This window comes from Homo sapiens, chromosome 7 (assembly GCF_000001405.40).
Source record: "Homo sapiens chromosome 7, GRCh38.p14 Primary Assembly".
NCBI lineage: Eukaryota > Metazoa > Chordata > Mammalia > Primates > Hominidae > Homo > Homo sapiens.
Window position 1 is genome coordinate 127,084,177 of NC_000007.14, and position 21,040 is coordinate 127,105,216.

Sequence of the window (21,040 nt, forward strand, 5' to 3'; positions counted from 1 at the left end):
AGATATTTTTGATCTTTTAGGAGTTAAAAAGATGTTTCTCAACCTCTAAACAGAGTTGGTGGGCAAGGCAGAATGGATTGGTAGAATATTAAAAATAGAGCGAGGCTAGGCTGTTCCTTCAAGATATTTGCAAACACTAGAATTTTTAAACACAAAACAGAATAGGAGTTGGAATATTTTAAGAAAATAAGTAAAAATGTAGTCCTCTTGCTATCTCCAACAGCTATGCATTTGAGTACCTGAAATGTGGGAGTAGACGAAGGGGCATTAGATACACTATAAACCATGTTTGTTATTATAAATAACACATAAAACCACAGAGCACCTTCATTATAGATTAATGTTACAGTTCTCTGTGGACACAAGACCATTGACAACATGGGGGACATGAGGTTGTAATAAGCCTTAGATTCTATAAGTCAATAAAATTAAGCCATGGCACAATTGTGTCACATCTACAGAAAGGCAGAGTAGATCATCACTGAGGGAGACAGTGATTCTAAGCCTCACTCACCTTGGCCAAGCCTGAAGATCTTGAGAAGTGTTTCTGTCCCATCACTAACTTACCCACTCATACTGGTGGTGTCAGTGCAGGAGTCACTGCTACTGAAGGCTGGTGGAAGGAAAGACCACAGGTTGTTTTTTGTTTTTAAATACTTTAAGTTCTAGGGTACATGTGCACAATGTGCAGGTTCATTACTTAGGTATACATGTGCCATGTTGGTTTGCTGCACTCATCAACTGGTCATTTACATTAGGTGTTTCTCCTAATGCAAACCCTCGCCCAACCCTCCACCTACTGACAGACCCTGGTATGTGATGTTCCCTGCCCTGTGTCCAAGTATTCTCATTGTTCAATTCCCACCTATGAGTGAGAACATGCAGTGTTTGGTTTTCTGTCCTTGTGATAGTTTGCTTAGAGTGATGGTTCCAGCTTCATCCACGTCCCTGCAAAGGACATGAACTCATCCTTTTTTATGGCTGCATAGTATTCCATGGTGTATATGTGCCACATTTTCTTAATCCAGTCTGTCACTGATGGACATTTGGGTTGGTTCCAAGTCTTCGCTATTGGGAATAGTGCCGCAATAAACATACGTGTGCATGTGTCTTCATAGTAGCATGATTTATAATCCTTTGGGTATATACCCAGTAATGGGATCGCTGGGTCAAATAGTATTTCTAGTTGTAGATCCTTGAGGAATCACCACACTGTCTTCCACAATGGTTGAACTAATTTACATTCCCACCAACAGTGTAAAGGCATTCCTATTTCTCCACATCCTCTCCAGCATTTGTTTCCTGACCTTTTAATGATCGCCATTCTAACTGGCGTGAGATGGTATCTCATTGTGGTTTTGATTTGCATTTCTCTGATGACCAGTGATGATGAGCATTTTTTCATATGTCTGTTGGCTGCATAAATGTGTTCTTTTGAGAAGTGTCAGTTCGTATCCTTTACCCACGTTTTGATGGGGTTGTTTTTTCTTGTAAACTTGTTTAAGTTCTTTGTAGATTCTGGATATTAGCCCTTTGTCAGATGGGTAGATTGCAAAAATTTTCTCCTATTCGCAGGTTGCCTGTTCATTCTGATGATAGTTTCTTTTGCTGTGCAGAAGCTCTTTAGTTTAATTAGATCCCATTTGTCTATTTTCACTTTTGTTGCCATTGCTTTTGGTGTTTTAGTCATGAAGTCTTTGCCCATGCCTATGTCCTGAATGGTATTGCCTAGGTTTTCTTCTAGGGTTTTTATGGTGTTAGGTCTTACATTTAAGTCTTTAATCTATCTTGAGTATGCATATCAAGAATATTGGAAACATACCTATTGTCAATAGAGCGGGCCCTCTGGATCATAAAATCGAAGTGAGGAAGAAAACAAAGGCATTCATGCCAGAGGAAGCAAAGTTTTTGGTTTGTTTTTGATTGTTTTGTTTTGTTTTTTGAGATGGAGTCTCGCTCTGTCACCCAGGCTGGAGTGCAGTGGCATGATCTCGGCTCACTGCAACCTCCACCTTCTGGGTTCAAGCGATTCTTCTGCCTCAGCGTCCCAAGTAGCTGGGACTGCAGGCACACGCCACCACACCCATCTAATTTTTTGTATTTTTAGTAGAGGCCAGGTTTCACCATATTAGCCAGGATGGTCTCGATCTCCTGACCTCGTGATCTGCCTGCCTCGGCCTCCAAAAGTGCTGAGATTACAGGCGTGAGCCACTGCGCCTGGCCCAGTATTTTTTTAAACAATTCAGAAAGCTATGTATCCAAATTCCGAAGCAATCTTGAGCAGTCATCAATGAAAGTCTTTAACTCAGTGAAGCACACATTGTCTTAAATGCCTTTATCTCTTTCCCTGGTCTCTGTCTACATGCACCTCCCCTTCCTTCAGTACCTAGCCCAAGCTTCCCCTCCATAAAGCCCTCCCATAATGTCCCTGGTTGGAACCAGTCACCTCAACCTCTGCACCTGCATAGTTTATGTGTGTATATCTAGCAATTATTTTCTCATCTTGGCTCTAAACTTTGAAGGGCAACTGTTGTGTCCGTCTCCAGTGCCTATCACAGCATTGTGCCCATAGCCAGGGTGCAGTGCATCTTATGGAATGTGACCAAGGGACATCTCCTGTTTTAGCATAAATAAAAGAAACCAGAGTTCTGCTCTTGTTCCACCTTCATTAATCAAGTCCTCCCTCCAGCTTGTTGTTTACCAGCAAGGGAGAGAAAAGCTGAACTCACAAGTTCATGCTGCTGAGATAAAGACCTGAAGCATATGTTGGCCCACAGGGAGGGCTCGATGCCAAAAGCTGGGGAGAAAACTAAAGTTTCTCCAAGGAAAAAATAAATAAGGGTGGAAAGGAGAGCACCTCCAGTTAAGGACAGGTACTATGACACCTGACACCAGGAATGCCTTTGCTGCTAGGTGCTTCCTTAACTGTGACAGGACATTAACACAGGACCTGCAGCTGGGGCAGGAGAAAAAGAGAAAAAGGAGCAGCAGAGAAGAAACCAGCCTCAGTCCCAGGCCCTTCTCCACTGCAGGGTTCCAGCTTAGAGCAACACCAAGCTGTGGGAGGGGAGAAACTTTCAGTTTGGCTGAATTTCAGTTTTATTACACAGGACTGGACATTTTAATAACTGAAATGAGACTTTTCATATATTTAGAAGTGAATAGAGAACGAAGAGTATGAGACCAATATACCTTCCAGATGGGGGTGGGAGAATCCTAGACTTCACAGGTGTAAAATCAGTAGGAAGAGGCAAAATTAAGAAGTTTCCAAAAACAAAACTCAAACCTTGAGGACATTACGCTAAGTGAAATCAGCCCATTACAGAAAGACAAGTACTGCAAGACTCCATTTATATGAGGTATCTAAAATAGCTAAGTTCATAGAATCAAAATCTGGAATGATGGTTGCCAGGAACTATGGGAAGAGAAAAATGGGGAGTTATTTAATCAATGGGCAAACAGTTTCAGTCAAGCAAGATGAATAAGCTCTAGATATCTGCTGTACAACGCTGCACCCACAGTAAACACTAATGCAGCATGCTCTTAAAAATTAGTTAAGAATAGAGCTTATGTTTAAGACTTTTTACCATAATAAAATGAAATAAAAAAATGAAGAATCTAAAAATTTAAAATTTTAAAATAAAGAAGTGGTACTGTGGAGTCTCACCTATCACATATACCAGTTACATTGACATTTTAAAAGTCAGTGCTCAATAATAGGGCTCCCCCAGAGTGCCTTGCCTGCTTCACGATTCACAGTACAAACAAGGCTTCCATGCTTCCTGACAATCACACATGGAATTCCATTTTTTAAATGAGGAAATGAAAAATAATTTAGAAACCATAAAAAGAAATAAAATATTTTCTTTAAAAATAGAGGACTCAGCCATGTTTATGACAGTCAAACAAAATGTCTATTTCTCTCCTTTTTGCCAGGGCTCCTCTGATTGCCATCCAATTAGCTAGTGGTCAGAGTGACCCATTAGTGAGAAGTCCTGTTAGGGAAGCCCTTTAGCTGGTATGCAATATGTGCTATTTTCACTGACTGGACTCAATTGGTGGTGGTGGTGGTGAGTGAAGTCTGCATTCTGCCACAGATAACTAATGTGTAGGTAGATGTGGTTCCTCTCAATAACCATGAAGGCCCTGGGTTAATTCCTTTGGTTGCCAACACACTAGGGTTGGTGAAGGCAGCACAGAATGGAGAGCCTTTACAAAGCTGGGGAGAATGCTCTAACAGAAGCTTTTTCTTGTCCTTGAAACTGCTTTGTTGTCATTTAGATGAAAGCCAAAACTATTTCTGATGAATATTATGATGCATGGTTACATTTAGATCCTATTTTTCAGGGGAATTTTGGCTACTGTAACTGAATTTAACATATGTTGATAGAGCTCTTTCATGCCCTGGGCACTGATGAATAAGACCAGGTTGCTAATTCCCCTGAGAAAGTTACAGTCTACGTAGAACGCAGTGGTGTCAATGGACTGACACCATACAGCATGTGCAATGGACATCTGTGTGGTTCACCTGCCAGGCAGCTCTTCTTCTTGTTGTAGGAGAGCATCACACTTTAGCTTTAAGAAATGACACCTCTCTGTGGCTTTGACCATATGTTTCAAGTGGAGCTCACCCCAGCTTTCTCTCCCCAGCTCCAGAAATGGGCATATGTCCCATGCATGGCTAAAGTGAATAGCACCTTCCCCAGGCCACAGTGATTGCTTGAGTGATGAACTGTCACTTCTTGTACAGTGGGGGCCAAGCCTTGGACTTCTGCGGACACAATTGGAAGCGAAGCACATCCTTTCCACTAAAGGTGCTGTATTGGGTTGAACTATATCACCCCAGAAGATATGTCCACCTGGAGCCTCAGAATGTGACTTTATCTGGAATAAGGTGTTTGCAAACATAACTGCAGTAGGGAATTCGAGATGAGATCATCTTAGAATAGAGTGAGCCCTAAATCCAATGACAAGTGTCCTTATAAGAGACAGAAAAGGAGAAAATAACAAATACACAGAGAGAAAGGTGATGTGACAATGAAGCCAGAGACTGGAGTTATGCAGCTACAAGGCAGGGATGCCAAGAATTGTTGGCAGCCACCAAAACCGAGGAGAGAAGCATGGAGCAGATCCTCCCTCAGAGCTTCTGTAAGGAGCCAGCCCTGCCTACACCTTGATTTTGGACTTCTGGCTCCACAATTGTGGGAGAACAAATTTCTGTTGTTTTGAGCCACCCAGTGTGTGGTGATTTGTTAAGGCAGCTCTGGGAAATGAATACAGTTACTAAGCTGGCAGTATGCAAGCCTACAGCTGCTGGTGGCCATCTTCCCACCACATGGGCAAAACCTAAGCATATAGCCAGCACACCAGAAAGCAGAGCCCAGAGCTGGAGCAAGACACATTCCTGTAGACTTCATTTTAAAATGTGGAGCTAACCCTGCCTGAGAAGTCAGATTTACTCCTATACTGTTTTAAGTTTTTGTACCCTAAATTGCCTCATAGGCTTACATTTAAGTCCTGTCTGAGACAGTAAAACAAATGCTTTCTTTACTAAAGGTACACACACAGTGTTGCAATCACAGAATAGAGCTCATCTAACACTACTTAAGGGAACCCAGGAAGCCTTCACTAAGGAAGTATCATTGATGCTGAGTCTTGAGTGGAATTTTGCCAGGAAATAATTCATCTGATGTCCCATCTCTGCATCATTCTCTGTGGGATTCTTTCTGGGGAGCCACATAGTCATTCTGCACATGCCCATCCCAATCTAAGGGCTCCAGGACACAAACTGCGGTTGGCCAAGATGTCTTAAATGAGTTTTGTTTCAATGGCATAGATCCCCACAGCATCAAGTGATTCCCATCCTCCATGCCTGGGACCTTGTGACCACTTGTGCCAATACCAACTTGCTTCTGGCCCTCATTCCCACTCCAGTCCAAGCCAATCCCAGCTCTTGCCTGGAGACACACAATAGATTTCTAACTAATCTTCTGCTTCCATCTTGACCCTGCAATCCAGTTTCTGCACACGTACCTCAACTGTACCATATCTCTCCAAATCAAATCCCTTCAAAGGCTTTTACCAGATCTGTAAATTCCCAGCACCTAACAAGTTCTTGGAACTTCATTTGGGTACCAATTATGTGTTAAATGAATGGTGAATAAGCAAGTTCATCAGGGCCTGGAGTCATGACTCAATAGCAGAAGCTTTAGACCTTAGGACATCTTGCAGTCATGACTCACATCTCATGTTACATACCTGGAACATTCCAAACCAATTGAAAGAGGAATAATATATTCATCAGATTTATCTACTTCTGATTTTGCATCCACTCTATTTGTCTGACATAGCAGATCTCTGGTTCTTAATCTAAGAATGGTAGATCTACTATCTGGTTCTGGTTTTCAGATTCAAGTTTAGCAACCTGGGTGTCAATCCTGCTATCATGTACTTAAGCTACTGCTTCTGTTTCCCAACTGAAACCTGTCCCTAATTCTGATTCCCGGCTCTCCTTCCTTCCCATGTGCCCTCCGGTTGCGGCACTGGCATGCCCCAGAACCCAGATCCCATGTCTCTCAACTGTTGCTAAACAGAATGAGATGCTGAGCCCTGACCCTAGGGCAGGGTCCCATCCTCTGCTACAGAACAATTTTTATGTGGACTGTTAGCCACGCCATCTGACTTTCTCCAAGCTACCTACTTCCTGATGTCCTGTCTCCAGCATGCACTCACCTGCCATGTCCATCTATTCCTTCATTCAACAAGCACTCTCAGATTATCTTCTAGACAGTGCAGCTACAGTGCTAATGAAAGATGTCTGTGGTATGCTTTCCACCTCTGAAGAAAAAGAAGGGAATAATTTAAAAAGTGGTAAGATGTCTGCATGGGACCTCAGAAACTGACCAAGTGTTCACAGTGGTTCACCTCTTACCCTCTTACTTTGCCTTGACAGAACTTTAGTCAGGATTCTCTCCTTCCTACAGGTCCCTGAATTCTACTTGGCCCCAAGCCTGAGAAAGCACTAAACACTGGAATGTGGCCCCCTTATTAGCTTGCACTGAGAATCAGCTGACCACAGCAGGACAATTCCTGTCATACCCCACTGATCATCCTCCCCATCCCACTGGCCATCCCCCAGTTCCACTGATCATCCCCCTGTCCCACTGATCATTCCCCTCAACCATCCCACTGATCATCCTCCCATCCCACTGGTCATCCCCCCACCACCATCCCCGTCTCACTGATGACTGGTCATCCCCCCACCACCATCCCACTGGTCATCCCCCCCACCACCATCCCCGTCTCACTGATGACTAGTCATCCCCCCACCACCATCCCACTGGTCATCCCCCCCACCACCATCCCACTGGTCATCCCCATCCCACTCATCATCCACCCCATCCCACTCGTCATCCCCCCATCCCACTCGTCATGCTCCCCTGTCCCACTCATCATCCCCCGTCCCACTTATGACCCACCCCACCATCCCACTGATCATCCTCCCATCCCACTGATCCTCTGATGACCCCCCTGCCATCCCACTGATCATCCCCTCCTCCCACTGGTCATCCCTCCCGTCCCACTGATCATCCCTCCGCCGTCCCACTGATGACTCCCCACCCCCGCGGTCCCACTGGTCATCCCGCCGTCTGGCTGGCGACCCCCCGGCCGTCCCGCCAATGACCCCCCCGCCGGCCCACTCATCATTCCCCGCCGGCCCACTGATGACTCCCCCTCCAACCCACTGATCATCCCCGCCATCCCACTGGTCATCCCCCCATCCCACTGACCATCCCCCATCCCACTGATCATTCCCCGTCCCACTGATGACCCCCCCCACCATCCCACTAGTCATCCCCCCGTCCCACTGGTCATCACCTCGCCCCACTGGTCATCACCCCATCCCACTGGTCATTCCCCCGTTCCACTGGTCATCCCTCCATTGCTTAATCCCTTTTACAATTTTAATTAAGCTTTTGCTTATCTCTCCCTACCCTATATAATGGAAGCCTCTTTCTTTTTGATTTTGTGACACTTGACAATTTCTGAGGTTGGAGCATTCTCTCTGTGGCAATGGTCTTTCTTTTGAATAAAATCCCTCCTTATCTAAGTCTGGATTTGTTTTCATTTGACAGAATACATAGAAGAGAAATCTAACTTGGGTGGGAAGAGGAGGGGATGAAGATTAGAGAAGGCTTCCTGGAAATAAACTGTGAACAGAAAGAAAATAAAACATTGGCTGGGCACGGTGGCCCACGCCTATAATCCCAGCACTTCAGGAGGCCAAGGCAGGTGGATCTCTTGAGGCCAGGAGTTTGAGATGAGCCTGGGTAACGTGGTGAAATCTTGTCTCTACTAAAAAATAGTAATAATACAAAAAGCTAGCTGGGTGTGGTGGTGCATGACTGTAATCTTAGCTACTTGGGAGGCTAAGGCATGAGAATCACTTGAACCCAGGAAGCGGATATTGCAGTGAGCCAAGGTTGTGCCACTGCACTACAGCCTGGGTGACAGAGTGAGACTCTGTCTCAGGGGGAAAAGAAAAAAGAAGGAAAAGAAAATGTTAACCAAACTAACACAGAGGACATGCACGGATTCCAGGCTGTGAGGTGGCATGCGTGACTCTCTTGCCATGTGGCAGTATGTTCAGGTCCTCACCAACACCACCATCTCTGATCTGTGCTCCATAAGCCTGAATGGAATTCTTCATGCCACCTGCACCTGGCAATGCTCCCAAACAACTGCACCTGGCAAGCTGGCCTAGCTCCTTCCTCGGTCCAGGCCTAGCCTTCTGTGTGTGCCCACAAAAACACATGCACACATGTTCTTTCTTATTCAAATGTGTGACCCCTACCCTCAGCATGCCACAGACACCTCAAGTGAACTCTAGCATCTCCAGAACACCCAAGGGGTCAAGTAGTTATTATGATAGATGTAGGCCATCTCTACCTTTTCATGGACTCTCTGTTCATGGCATCTCACTCTGTAGGCTTAGGCAAAATTCCTGTAGCCTAGAGAGATCTGAGACTACAAGGACATGAAAAATGCAAAGAGGGTAAGCTTGACTGGAAACTGCACAAGGACTGGAAGCAGGTCTGACTCATTCAGCATCATATCCCTACCACCTAGAACAAGGCCCCAACACACAGTAGGGGCTCAAATATTTGTTAAATAAAATGTCATATCAGCTCACGTGAATAATTCCATCTATCGCAGAGTTTCCTCTGACACTATCATCAAGCAACATTTTAAAGGGGAAAACAGTGGTTGTCCTCCATGATATGAAACACACAAGGCTAGCAATGCATTCTGAACAACCCTATTTCCCTTAATAGCCCGTTATGCACATGCCAGCCATGATTCATGATGTAAATGTAACTCTAGAGTCGTATGACCATAAGTACCAATGCCTTGGAAGTGTATCTGAGCTGCTACAAGAGAGATTATTTTTTTCCTCACTGCTACAACTGCCAGAAAATATGTTTAAATCATTACTTGAAATTCCTTTCCCAACCAAATCTCTTCCCAGAGCTGTTAACAAGAAACAAAATATGCTGACTTGAGTTTCACTTTCTTTCCATTCCTCTGCCTTCCTCTTGTGGGACCCCCAATGAATCATGAAATGGTTTTGGTCAGGTAAGAGTGAAAAAAGCACAGAACAAAGCCCAGTCTGTCAAACATGCAGATCCTAGAGGACAGAGACTCTGCAGCCCAGTTCTACCAACGGACGTAACCCCTGAAATAATTTGCACCTATTTCAATCAACTATTCATCTGCTAGCCTTCTGATTTTATTATATTATGAAGCCATTTATTTTCAAGGAAACTATATTTGTTGCTTAGTTGATACATGATGAAGTAAACTGAGAAAATACACTCCTAATTCTCAGGCCAACTCTTTTAAGGCCTATAAAAAATGACATAAATAGATTCTGATGTTGCTTCATTTCTGCAGAAGGGTGTTTTTATATTATGTTCTTCTATCAACACAGTAAGTACAGATTGCATCTTAAAGCTCTCATCTAGTGCTGGAGTTTCCAAACACAATGGCTTTAACAAGGAAATGACTTTGGAAAGGAAAATAAAAGAATGTGATTTCTTTGGGGCTGAGCATGGGAGAGAAGCACACTTCCTGTCATGACTTGGGAGGCATGCAGAGACCAGCTGGCAAGGCTCTGATCACAGAAGCTAATCCCTCAGGAGAAAATGGGTAATCCCAGGGCCAAAATTCACCCAAAGAACCAGAACAAATATGGGCTTGGGTCAGACAGAACTTCATTAATCAGGGCTCAATCCGGCAGCCATGACTGGGGAGATGCCATGTAAAGAGGAAAGCAGAGATTGAAGTGATGCTTCTACTTGCCAAGGAATGCCAAATATCACCAGCAAACCACAAGAAGCAAGGACAGAGGCTGGAAGAGATTCCTCCTCACAGCCTCAAGAGGATCCAAGCCTGCTGACACCTTGATCTCAGGTTTCTGGCTCCCAAACTGTGGAGGCCAATTCTGTTATTCAAGCCACCCAGTTTATGGGACTTTGTTACAGCAGCCCTAGCAAACTAATACAGTTGGCAATAGGAGTTAGGTAGCAGGAAAATAATAAATAACTGAAAACAGGGACCACACAGTTCATGTGAAGCTCCTGGCCCTTTTCAAGCATTTGTACGGGAATCTCTGGGAAAGAGATTCAAACTATCACTTGAGGCTAAATTCCTTTATACTTGGGAATTCACATTTATTCATTTGTATGACACTAAAAGAACATGAGAAATATAAAGACAACAAGCTAGAGGGGGTCAGGGCCCCATACAATAGCCAGGATTCTGCTCAATGGCTTCATGCATAGTCAAACCTTACCAGCTGTGTGAGAATAAAGGCAGAAGAGGAGACCCTTCAACCCAGTCAGGTAAAGTTGACAAGGAATAGGTAGTATGTCATGGTCCAAAACCAGGAGGCCAGAATACAGGGATGGGTCCATCTCCAAGGATCTGAAGTGTAAGTCAAATGTCTGGTGGGACATCACTGTGAGTTTGCAGTGACAGAGAGGGGCTCAGGGTTCACCCCAGGACAACCATACACAGGGTCCATCATGACAAAACCATTCCAAACCCTGGCAACTTGTGGGTTGATGCTGGGTGGAAGCTGTTGGCCCTGGCTAAGACCCAGGAACTGAACAAAATTAAAATTGCTGCCAAGGGCATGGGTGATGCTGGGTAGGGGTGATCATGGAAAGCAGGGACTAATAGTGTCAGGTAAAGCCACACACTGATTGCATGTAAGAGAATACATGACAGTAATCATCAATAGAGGAAGAAATAAGAACCGTCAAACACTAGATATTTTACACATATTAAACATTTCTCATATATTACATTACAAAGTTGGCATAATATTCTACATTCAACTTTTTGCATTCTTTATTTCCTTAGGAAACTGTGTTTCTACTCAAGTTGTCTGAATTAATTTAACTCATATGCCACTGTGTACTTCCTTTGAGTTTGGGGTCCATAGCTGTCCTGCTCCACTGTCTCATGCCAGGTCTTTTCATTACATGAACTGCAGGATGCTCTCTCTCAGGCACAGTGTTTTGGGGGCAATGCCTCTAAATGATGCCTCCATTGAGGCAAAGATCACATGAATTTGTAATTGTTTGCATCTCCACCTCCTCTGAAACACAGTGACCTGCTGGAAAGCAAAGACCATGATTTGTCTCTGTATCCTCAAAGCCCAGCACAAGTATCACCTGACACATGCACTATAAATGCTCACTGAATTGATTCATTCTTAAGAAGATTCAAAATGAAAAAGGAAGCAAGCAGATTTGGTGAGCCATTTCTGACTGGTATTTCATGAATTCATGTATTTAACTATGGGCCAGCACTATGTCAGGTAATACATTAGTCATGTGAAGAAACAATAAGATTGATCACTGCTAAGGTATAGAGCAAGTTTCAGGAATGCAAGAATGGGCTGCCCTTAATTGAGCACTTAGCCTCTCTGCTGCCTTTTGCTCATTGAGCAAATTGGATATATATTCAGGCCAGTAAGAACACTCATAGGCTACCTGCTGGTGTAGATGGGCTCCTTACAAGATACAAATTGAGGCTGGGTGTGGTGGTTCATGCCTGCAATGCCAGCACTTTGGGAGGCCAAGGCAGATGAATCACTTGAGGTCAGGAGTTCAAGACCAGTCTGGCCAACATGGTGAAACCCTATCTCTACTAAAAATACAAAAACCAGCCAGGCATGGGAGCATGCACCTGTAATTCCAGCTACTCGGGAGACTGAGGTAGGAGAATCGCTTGAACCCAGGAGGCAGAGGGTGCAATGAGCCAAGATCATGCCACTGCACTTCAGCCTGAGTGACAGAGTGAGACTGGGTCTAAAAAAAAAAAAAAATACAAATTGACCATTGTTGAACACTAGCCATGAGCCACACATTGTTATGTATGATCTCACCCAATTCTTATACAATTGTTATCCCCACTCTACACATGAATAAATTGGGGCACAACATGATTAAGTAAGTTACCCAGATCCCTTTGCTACAATATGACAAATCTGGAACATAAACCCAGCCAGTGAGAAGTTCTTAACCACTCCCCAGTGCTGCCTAAGAGATTAGGGTTGGATGAACCTACAGATTATAGGTTTTGGTATTTGCTAGCAATAAAAACTTGAACTCTAAGTGACTTAACATTACAGTAACCCCCGAAGGTTCCCATGCGTTATCAAAGATAATGCATAAGGCATGGTTGGAAGCAGCTCTGCCCTTTGGTTCCCAGAGGCTGAGCAAACCTTACCCCCAGACTCACATTACTAACACAACTAGGAATCTGGTGACAATGGTCATTCAACAGAAATTCATGAAGAGCCTGTTACATGCCAGGTACTATACTGGATATTGGGGGATCTTTCCACTAAGAAAAAACACATGCTGATAGAAAAGATTGACAGAGAAATCAGCACTACAATCAGAGTGGCAAGTGGTACCACAGAGTTAAGCGCAGGGACCCTGGAAGCACATTGCTAAGGATGAGGCAAGATACCCCAAACTTGTCCTCAAATCTCAACCCTTTTAAAGTGGCAACTGAATGGTCACATTCAAGTAGAAGCAACTGTTAGGTGACATGGCAAATAATATTCAATAACCAAGGATGACAAAAACAGGACAGGGTAGAATACTTAGCCCAGAAGTGGGTGGATGGCATTGAGAACTGGAAAAGAGAGGGGAGGTGGTCAGGAGTCATTCGAAAGCTTCCTCTCTGGTCTTCCATGTAGAATCTTAGCCACATATAGTTAAGATTGAAGGTAATTAACAAATCAAGCAAAAACCCTCTGCTATTTCAAATATCCTGCACACCAGGCAACATACCTACCATCTTTATGATAATATACAGCTTTGTTATGCCTTTTGGGGGAAAATCTGTATTATCCCCATTCCTTTCACTAGTAATACCTGATATTAAGTAGCACTTTTGAGTTTATAAAGAACATTCACAAGAATTATATCATTGAATTATTACTGAGCAGACAGGGCATCCATTTTACAGACAAGGAAATTAATTCTCAGAGAAGCTTGTTAACAAAATCTCATAATTGAAAAAGAGGGATTTAAAGAAGTGCTTTTGACTCCAAGGTTGGTTCTACTGCATCAAACTGCCATTGTTTACTAAAAACTTAACTACAGCATTAGAATCATAGGTTTTAAAGCACTTATTTGAATGCTGTTTGCTGTTTCATATTAACAGCAGCTGTTGCTACTTGGCAGTTACTAAGCCCTAAATATTAGGAATGGCTGGGGTGAAGAACAGCTTTGAAATGACACTATATTTGATCAGCTTCTGCAATAACTGTTAAAATCATATGCATGTCCTTTGGATCCCTATAAAGCTTCTACAGTATCACTGTACCTGCAGTTCCAATTTGCAATTTCCTCAGCCCTCCTTTGAAGTTATTCTTGCCAATTACCTGGTGTTAATATTAATTAAATATGATTTGTAACTCAAAATGTGGTGTTATCAATGGAACTCAGCTGTACAAATATAAAGTAAAATTTTCAATTGAATTAAATTGTTTCCTTTCATTCATAGTATTTTACAACATTAATACTTTTCTCAAATTGACTTTTGCCTGCTGGAAGTCATTTTCCCAAAGCAATGAACATCTGAGGGGAAACACTGCTGTTTATGTATTCTTTCCTTTCTGTCATTGAAAATACTTCGTTTTAATCTTAAAGTGAATCCATTTCAGTTACCAGAAACTTGCTTCTTGTTTATAACCCAAGAGGGGAAAATGCTTTATTTTAAAACTGTACTAAGATACATTAAAAATATGATCAGTGAACACGTTTCAATTGTACACTAGGGATGAAACTTTCCTTACCTTATTGCTTGACCCTCACAAAAAAAAAACTATCAAACTTTTTGGCAACTGTCATTTTATATACACAAAAAATGAATTAATTAAATTGGTTTCTTACATTAACATTTCAAACAGAATCTGCCATCCCAACAACTCTCTGGTCCCTTCCAACTCTAAGATGTTAATATTCGGAACATGTCAAACAATAGTCAGAAGCTTCCAGCATTTGCAAATTTAGGGGGAGAAAGACACACATAGAATATTTGACAGAATCAGGTCTATTCTGCCCCCTGTAATGTATGCAATGATGACTTGAAGGCCTGTCATCTTCAATAAGCCATTCATAAACATGATGACTGATTAAAGAAGGTGTGCTGCCATACTGTGCAAATCTACAATGAAAAGATATGTTCTCTCATATTCCTTTTATCTTCAAAGATAAAGCTTTAGCTTCCTTGCCCCTTATAATGATAGCAGTAGCATTAACATTTATTATCCTGTCTTCTTTTAAAAATAATATAATAATGTAAGACAAAGAAGGGAAGGAACCTGTCTAAAGACTAAAGGAAGTCATTTATTGAGTCATGAGCCACCAGGCCCAGAGCTTATGATGGAAAAGCATGAGTGAATATTATTAACTCCTTTATTATAATGTCAATGAAACATTATATCAAGGAATTAAAACAAGACAGAAATAGAGGACTGTGGATCTAATAGCTGAGTGTTGTGTAACACGTAGGTCTTAACCAGCAGCAACTAAGCTATTCCCTTCCCTCAGGCCAAAAGACCAAAAGGGGAAATAAAAATAAATTAGGCCAGAAAAAAATCTCTGGATGTCTGTCATATTCCAGGTGTCATCAAAGAGAAGCTTCTTGGAATTACAAAGTGGGGCAGGTGAACAGCAGGTACACACCTATGTTGGCAGTGTCTATTGTGATCCTACTGGGAGCTCTACCTAGGAAAGCCAGACAGACACTGGGATCCCATCACTTACCCCAGTCTGGAACCCTGAATTATCCATTAGGTTACCTCATTTACCCAAGAATCAGGATTGGGAGAGTAGAATTCCATAACATTCCAAAAGGAATTTGTGAACTCGCTATATTACAGGCTTCTCCATTAACCAAATTCTGTCTGCTTAAGCCCTTCTCATTCTTATTACTAACCTGTTGTCCTCCTAGCCCAAATCCCATCCCTACCACTGGAAGCTAACCTTCTGAGTATACCCTTCTTCACCCTCTGTTAAGAACTGAATTATCTCCCAAGAAAAATACATTGAAATCCTAAACCCAGTACCTCAGAATGTGACCTTATTTGGAAAGAGGGTCATTGCAAATGTAGTTAGTTAAGATGAGGTCATACTGGGGTAGAGTGGGCCTTTATTCCAATATATCTTCATTTTTATAAGAAGAGAAGACACAGAGATAAACACAAGAAGATGGTCATGTGATGGTAGAGGCAGAGACTGGAGTGATGCATCTACAAGCCAAGGAATACCAGGGATTGTCAGCAAACACCAGAAGCTAATAGAGGCAAGGAGGGATTCTCTCCTACAAATTTCAGAAGCAACCACCTTAATTTTTTATTTCTAGTCTCCAGAACTGTGAGATGATAAATTTCTATTATTTTAAGCCACTAGTATACTATATTTTACTATAAAATGCCTCCTTTCAAGGACCTCTCTTCATGTAGGAACCCTAGCCCTAACCCCAACCCTACTGTGCACGTTCAGCTATGCATTCTGGCAAAAGTTCCTGTTTTCTTATGAAACACTGCTCATCATCCTTAAATTTTTTTCTGAGGATCTCCTTTTATCATCTCCCATAATTGAAGTCTTCTTCAAAGGAGACTGAGAGCCCTCCCATGACCATAAACCCATGAAAAGAGAACACTCTACCATACTGTTACCTCCCATTGCAATGTCTAGGCCATTATTCCCACACTGTATTCATCTGTTCTCACAATGCTAACAAAGATATACCCAAGACTGAGTAATTTGTAAAGGAAACAGGTTTAACTGATTCACAGTTCCACATGGCTGGGGGTGGCCTCAAATCATAGTGGAAGGCAAATGAGGGACAAAGTCACGTCTTACATGGTGGCAGGCAAGAATGCTTGTGCAGGGGAACTCCCATTTATTAAACCATCAGACCTCATGAGTCTTATTCATTACCATGAGAACAGTATGAGGGAAACCACTCCCATGATTCAATGATCTCCACCTTGCCCTACACTTGACACACGGGGATTATTATAATTTAAGGTGAGGTTTGAGTGGGGACACAGAAAAACCATATCACATACCTTTATATGAAAGCTTCTCCCCATGAGTCCATCCTCATTCCCCTATACTTCTCACCTTAGCAACCACCTTTCCATACTCAACCATCAATTGTATGAGAATGAGCTTTGATCTATATCTCAGTTCCTGCTTGGCTCTAGATCAATGTTCCTTGCTATTCTTCTCCACAAAGCTATGTACTGGTACCTAAAGTTTACTGTGTTCATTTTACTGTCTCTTTTCTGTTTATGGTACCTGCCTTTTCCTAGTTGCCCAGGTATGCAATTTCAAGTTCAACTTTAATTTCTTTCATACCCTCAAGCTCTGTGTCCCGTTACTAAATTCCATAGACTTCACCTCACAAATGACCCCCAAGTCTATCTCCTCTTCCATTTATATTATCACTGCCCTATATCAGGCCAAGATTGTTATTGCAATGGACGCTGAACTGGTCTCCTTGTCTTCTACTTCTTATAGTACAACCTTAAATATACATTCTGATAGATCCCCCTCTCCTCAGCAGTTTCCTCCTGATATAATATGAGTATTTGTCCCTGCCAAAATCTCATGTGCAATTGTAATCCCCAATGCTGAAGGTGGGGCCTGGTGAGAGGTATTGGGTCATGGGGGCAAAGCCCTCATGGCTTGGTGCTATCTTCAGGATGGTGAGTTCCCACAAGATCTGGTTGCTTAAATATGTGTTGCATCTCCCCCATTCCCAACTCTCTCTTGCTCTTGCTTTCACTATGTGGTGTGCTTGCTCCTGCTTTACCTTCTGTGATGATTGTAAGCCTCAAAAGGCCTCCCCAGGAGCAGATGTTGCTATGCTTCCTGTACAGCCTGCAGAACCATAAGCCAATTAAACCTCTTTTCTCATAAATTACCCAGTCTTGGGTATTTCTTTATAGAAATGCAAGAACAGCCTAACACAGAAGATTGGTGCTGAGGGGTGGGGCATTGCTATAAAGATACCTGAAAATGTGGAAGTGACTTTGGAACTGGGTAACAGGCAGAGGCTAGAAGAGTTTGGAGGGCTCAGAAGAAGACAGGAAGATGAGGGAAACTTTGTACCTTCTTAGAGACCAGTTAAATGCTTTTCACCAAAATGTTAATAGTGATATGGACAGTGAAATCCTGGCTGCTGAGGTCTCAGATGGAAATGAGGGACTTACTGGAATCTGGAGCAAAGGTTACCTGTGTTATGCCTTAGCAAATAACTTGGATGCACTATGTCCATGCCTTAGGACTCTGTGGAAGTTTGAACTTGAAAGTAATGACCTAGGGTATACAGCAGAAGAAATTTCTATGCAGCAAAGCATTCAAAATGTGGCCTGGCTGCTTTTAATAACCTATATCAGATGTGGGAGCAAAGGAATGACTTAAAGCTGCAACTTATATTTAAAAGGGAAGCAGGGTATAAAAGTTTGGAAAATTTATATCCTAGCCATGGGGCAGAGAAAGAAAAAGCTTTTTCAGGAGAAGAATTTAAGCAGGCTGTGGAGCAACCACTTGCTAGAGATATTTGCATAACTAAAAAGAGCCAAGTCCTAATATCTAAGACAATGGGGGAAAGTCCTCCATGGCATTTCAAAGACCTCCATAGCTGTCCCTCCTATCACAGCCATAGGAGGGAAGAGTCCTTTCATGGGCCAGGTCCAGGGCCCCACTGCCCTGTGCAGCCTCAGGACACTGTTACCCACATCCCAGCCACTCTAGCTCTAGCCTTGGCTCAGAGGGCCCCAGATATTGCTCATGCCACTGCTCTGGAGAGTATGAGCTACTATAAGCCTTGACAGCCTCCATATGGCATTAAGCCTGCAAGTGCACAGAGTGAAAGAGTGATGAGGCTTGGCACCCTCTCCCTACATTTCAGAGGATGTATGGAAAAGCCTGGGCACCCAGGAAGAAGCCTGCTGATGGGGCAGAGCCATCACAGAAAACCTCTACAAGGGCAGTGTCAGGGGGAAATGTGGGGTTGGAGCCCCCACACAGAGTCCCCAGTGGGGGCACTGCCAAATGGAGCTGTTAGAAAGAGGCCACCATCCTCCAGACTCCAGAATAGTAGATCCACCAGCAGCTTGAACCCAGGTTGAAGTGCATTGGTGGAATCTCGGCTCACTGCAACCTCCACCTCCCAGGTTCAAGCAATTCTCCTGCCTCAGCCTCCCAAGTAGCTGGGACAGCAGGCACATGCCACCATGCCCAGCTAATTTTTGCATTTTTAGTAGAAACTGGGTTTCACCATGTTGGCCAGGCTGGTCTCAAACTCCACCTCAGCCCCCCAAAGTGCTGGGATTACAGGCATGAGCCATCACACCAAGTCTGGACTTTTGAGTTAATGCTACAATGAGTTAACATTTGGGGAGACTATTGCAATGGAAAAGGACATGAGATTTGAGAGGAGCCAAGGTGGAATGATATAGTTTGGATATTTATCCCCACCCAAATCTCATGTCGAAATGTCATCCCCAGTGATGGAGGCAGGGCCTGGTGGAAGGTGTTTGGGTCATGGGGGCAGATCTCTCATTGCTTGGTGCTGTCTTCAAGATAGTGAGTTCTCACAAAATCTGTTCATTTAAAAGTGTGTTGCACCTCCTCCCCTTGCTCCTGCTTCACCTTCTGCCATGATTGTAGGCCTCCTGAGGCCTCCCCAGTAGTGGATGCCACTTTGCTTCCTGTACAGCCCATAGAACCATGAGCCAATAAATAAACCTCTTTTCTCATAAATTACTCACTTTCAGGGATTTCTTTATAGCAAAGCAGGAATGGTCTAACACACCTCCATTGTCTAGAAAACTAAGGATAAAATAAACACCCTATGATTTGAAATAATCATGTGTCTATGTCAAACCTTCCAATTTTGTCTCCCATAATTCACTAAACAAACTATGCTCCAGTCAGAAAAACTGTGCTATTTGCTGATACCAAATATGTTTTTTTCCTTCTCCAGCAATAATCCTATAGTCAAGAGATGCCTTGGGATGACACTATAACAGCTGGGATATCAAGGGGCTATTTGTCTTTACCAAGTGTCTCCTGGCCCTCTCCCACTCAGAAAGATCTCAACTAGGGAAGAGCCATCACTGAGGTCTGATCAATGACCACCATACACTCATAAACTTCATTCTCCCAGATTCGCAAAGGACACTTTCCCAAGTCTGATTTTTTTAAAATGAAAAACATTCTAATCAAACTGTACAAGCAATTTATCACTAACCCAATTTTCATTTCACCATCATTCCATTATGATCTGCTTGAGTTAATCAGAGGTAAGACAGAGGAAGCCTCAATTTACACTGAAACTTCTTAGCAATCGATGTTGCTAAAGAGAAATTCAGAACAAAGTACAGAAAACATTATGAGTTGGGGAAATATACAATTTTATTAATGGGCAGACACTCCAAAAAAATTGAATGTATACATCTCTTTCTCACTCAAGCTACTGAGGTTTTTTTTTAAAAACACACTACTAACATGGTGACAGATGTCATCAATGTTGTAGTAAGAGCTGCAAATGTTACAGAACTAATGAATTTTCATTAGAGACATCAGATAATTTCAGAATGGGTTAAGTTGCTACCATTTGCCATTCCCATTAACATCATTGTCATGTAAAAGGTTTAATTTTCAGCTATTTTTGTTCTAGATAAAATCTTTGTCATTAAAATGAGGGATGATTTTGATATTTAATATATTCCATGGCATACTCCAGTGTGGTACTAATTTGGCCTTTTCAGTATTCTGCATATTAATTAACAATCCATCCCTCCTCCATTCCCCAGATAAGTGAGAACTGAAATAGAATGGACAACCAATCAAGTCACAGAATACTGAAAAGATCAACACAGAAGAAATGTGTTGCTCTAATCAAGAGCATATACAAGGCACCAAAATTATTTTCTCCCATGCTAATGACTATGATAGAAACAGGAGTAATGAATGGCACCATCTAAATCCTTTTATGTGACAGTATTACCAAAGCACAGCAATGCTCCCTAAAAAATAAAAACTAAGTATTTCTTATTTTAGTCAAAAGAATAAAACTGTGGTTTCACTTAACTTTTAGAACAATCCATTTTGTTGGATTCTGCAACAAATGGCAGATTATGTCCTGTTTTGAATTTTTTATAGTAATCTATCTCATGCACACAAAATGTGTCCTCAAGTTGCAGAATGTCCAGGATCACTGTGGAAAACTTATTTCAATACATACTCTATTAGTTTTCTCCTCTTGCTAAATTATCACTCTGGTAAGAACTGACATCAGCTGCTTAAATAATACATTAACCCTGTTTCCAGAAGCTATTGTTTTCATTTGAGTGGGCATTTCCTCTAAGGATAAACTTTAGATTTTTACCCAAGAAGATAATATAATTTGTCATAATTTAAAGACCAAT

General features: G+C 42.4%; 1 protein-coding gene and 1 long non-coding RNA gene across 24 annotated transcripts in view; both read right to left on the reverse strand.

Moving 5' to 3' along the window:
* The window catches only part of GRM8 (glutamate metabotropic receptor 8), an 814,344-nt gene that overhangs the window by 645,579 nt on the left and 147,725 nt on the right, over positions 1-21,040 (reverse strand). The gene's annotated exons all lie outside the window — the stretch shown is intronic.
* On the reverse strand, positions 10,719-12,300 carry LOC124901742 (uncharacterized). The gene is made up of 2 exons (XR_007060510.1): positions 12,259-12,300; positions 10,719-11,683 (listed from the first exon to the last, which is right to left on the reverse strand). It is a non-coding gene; the product is annotated as an uncharacterized LOC124901742 (long non-coding RNA).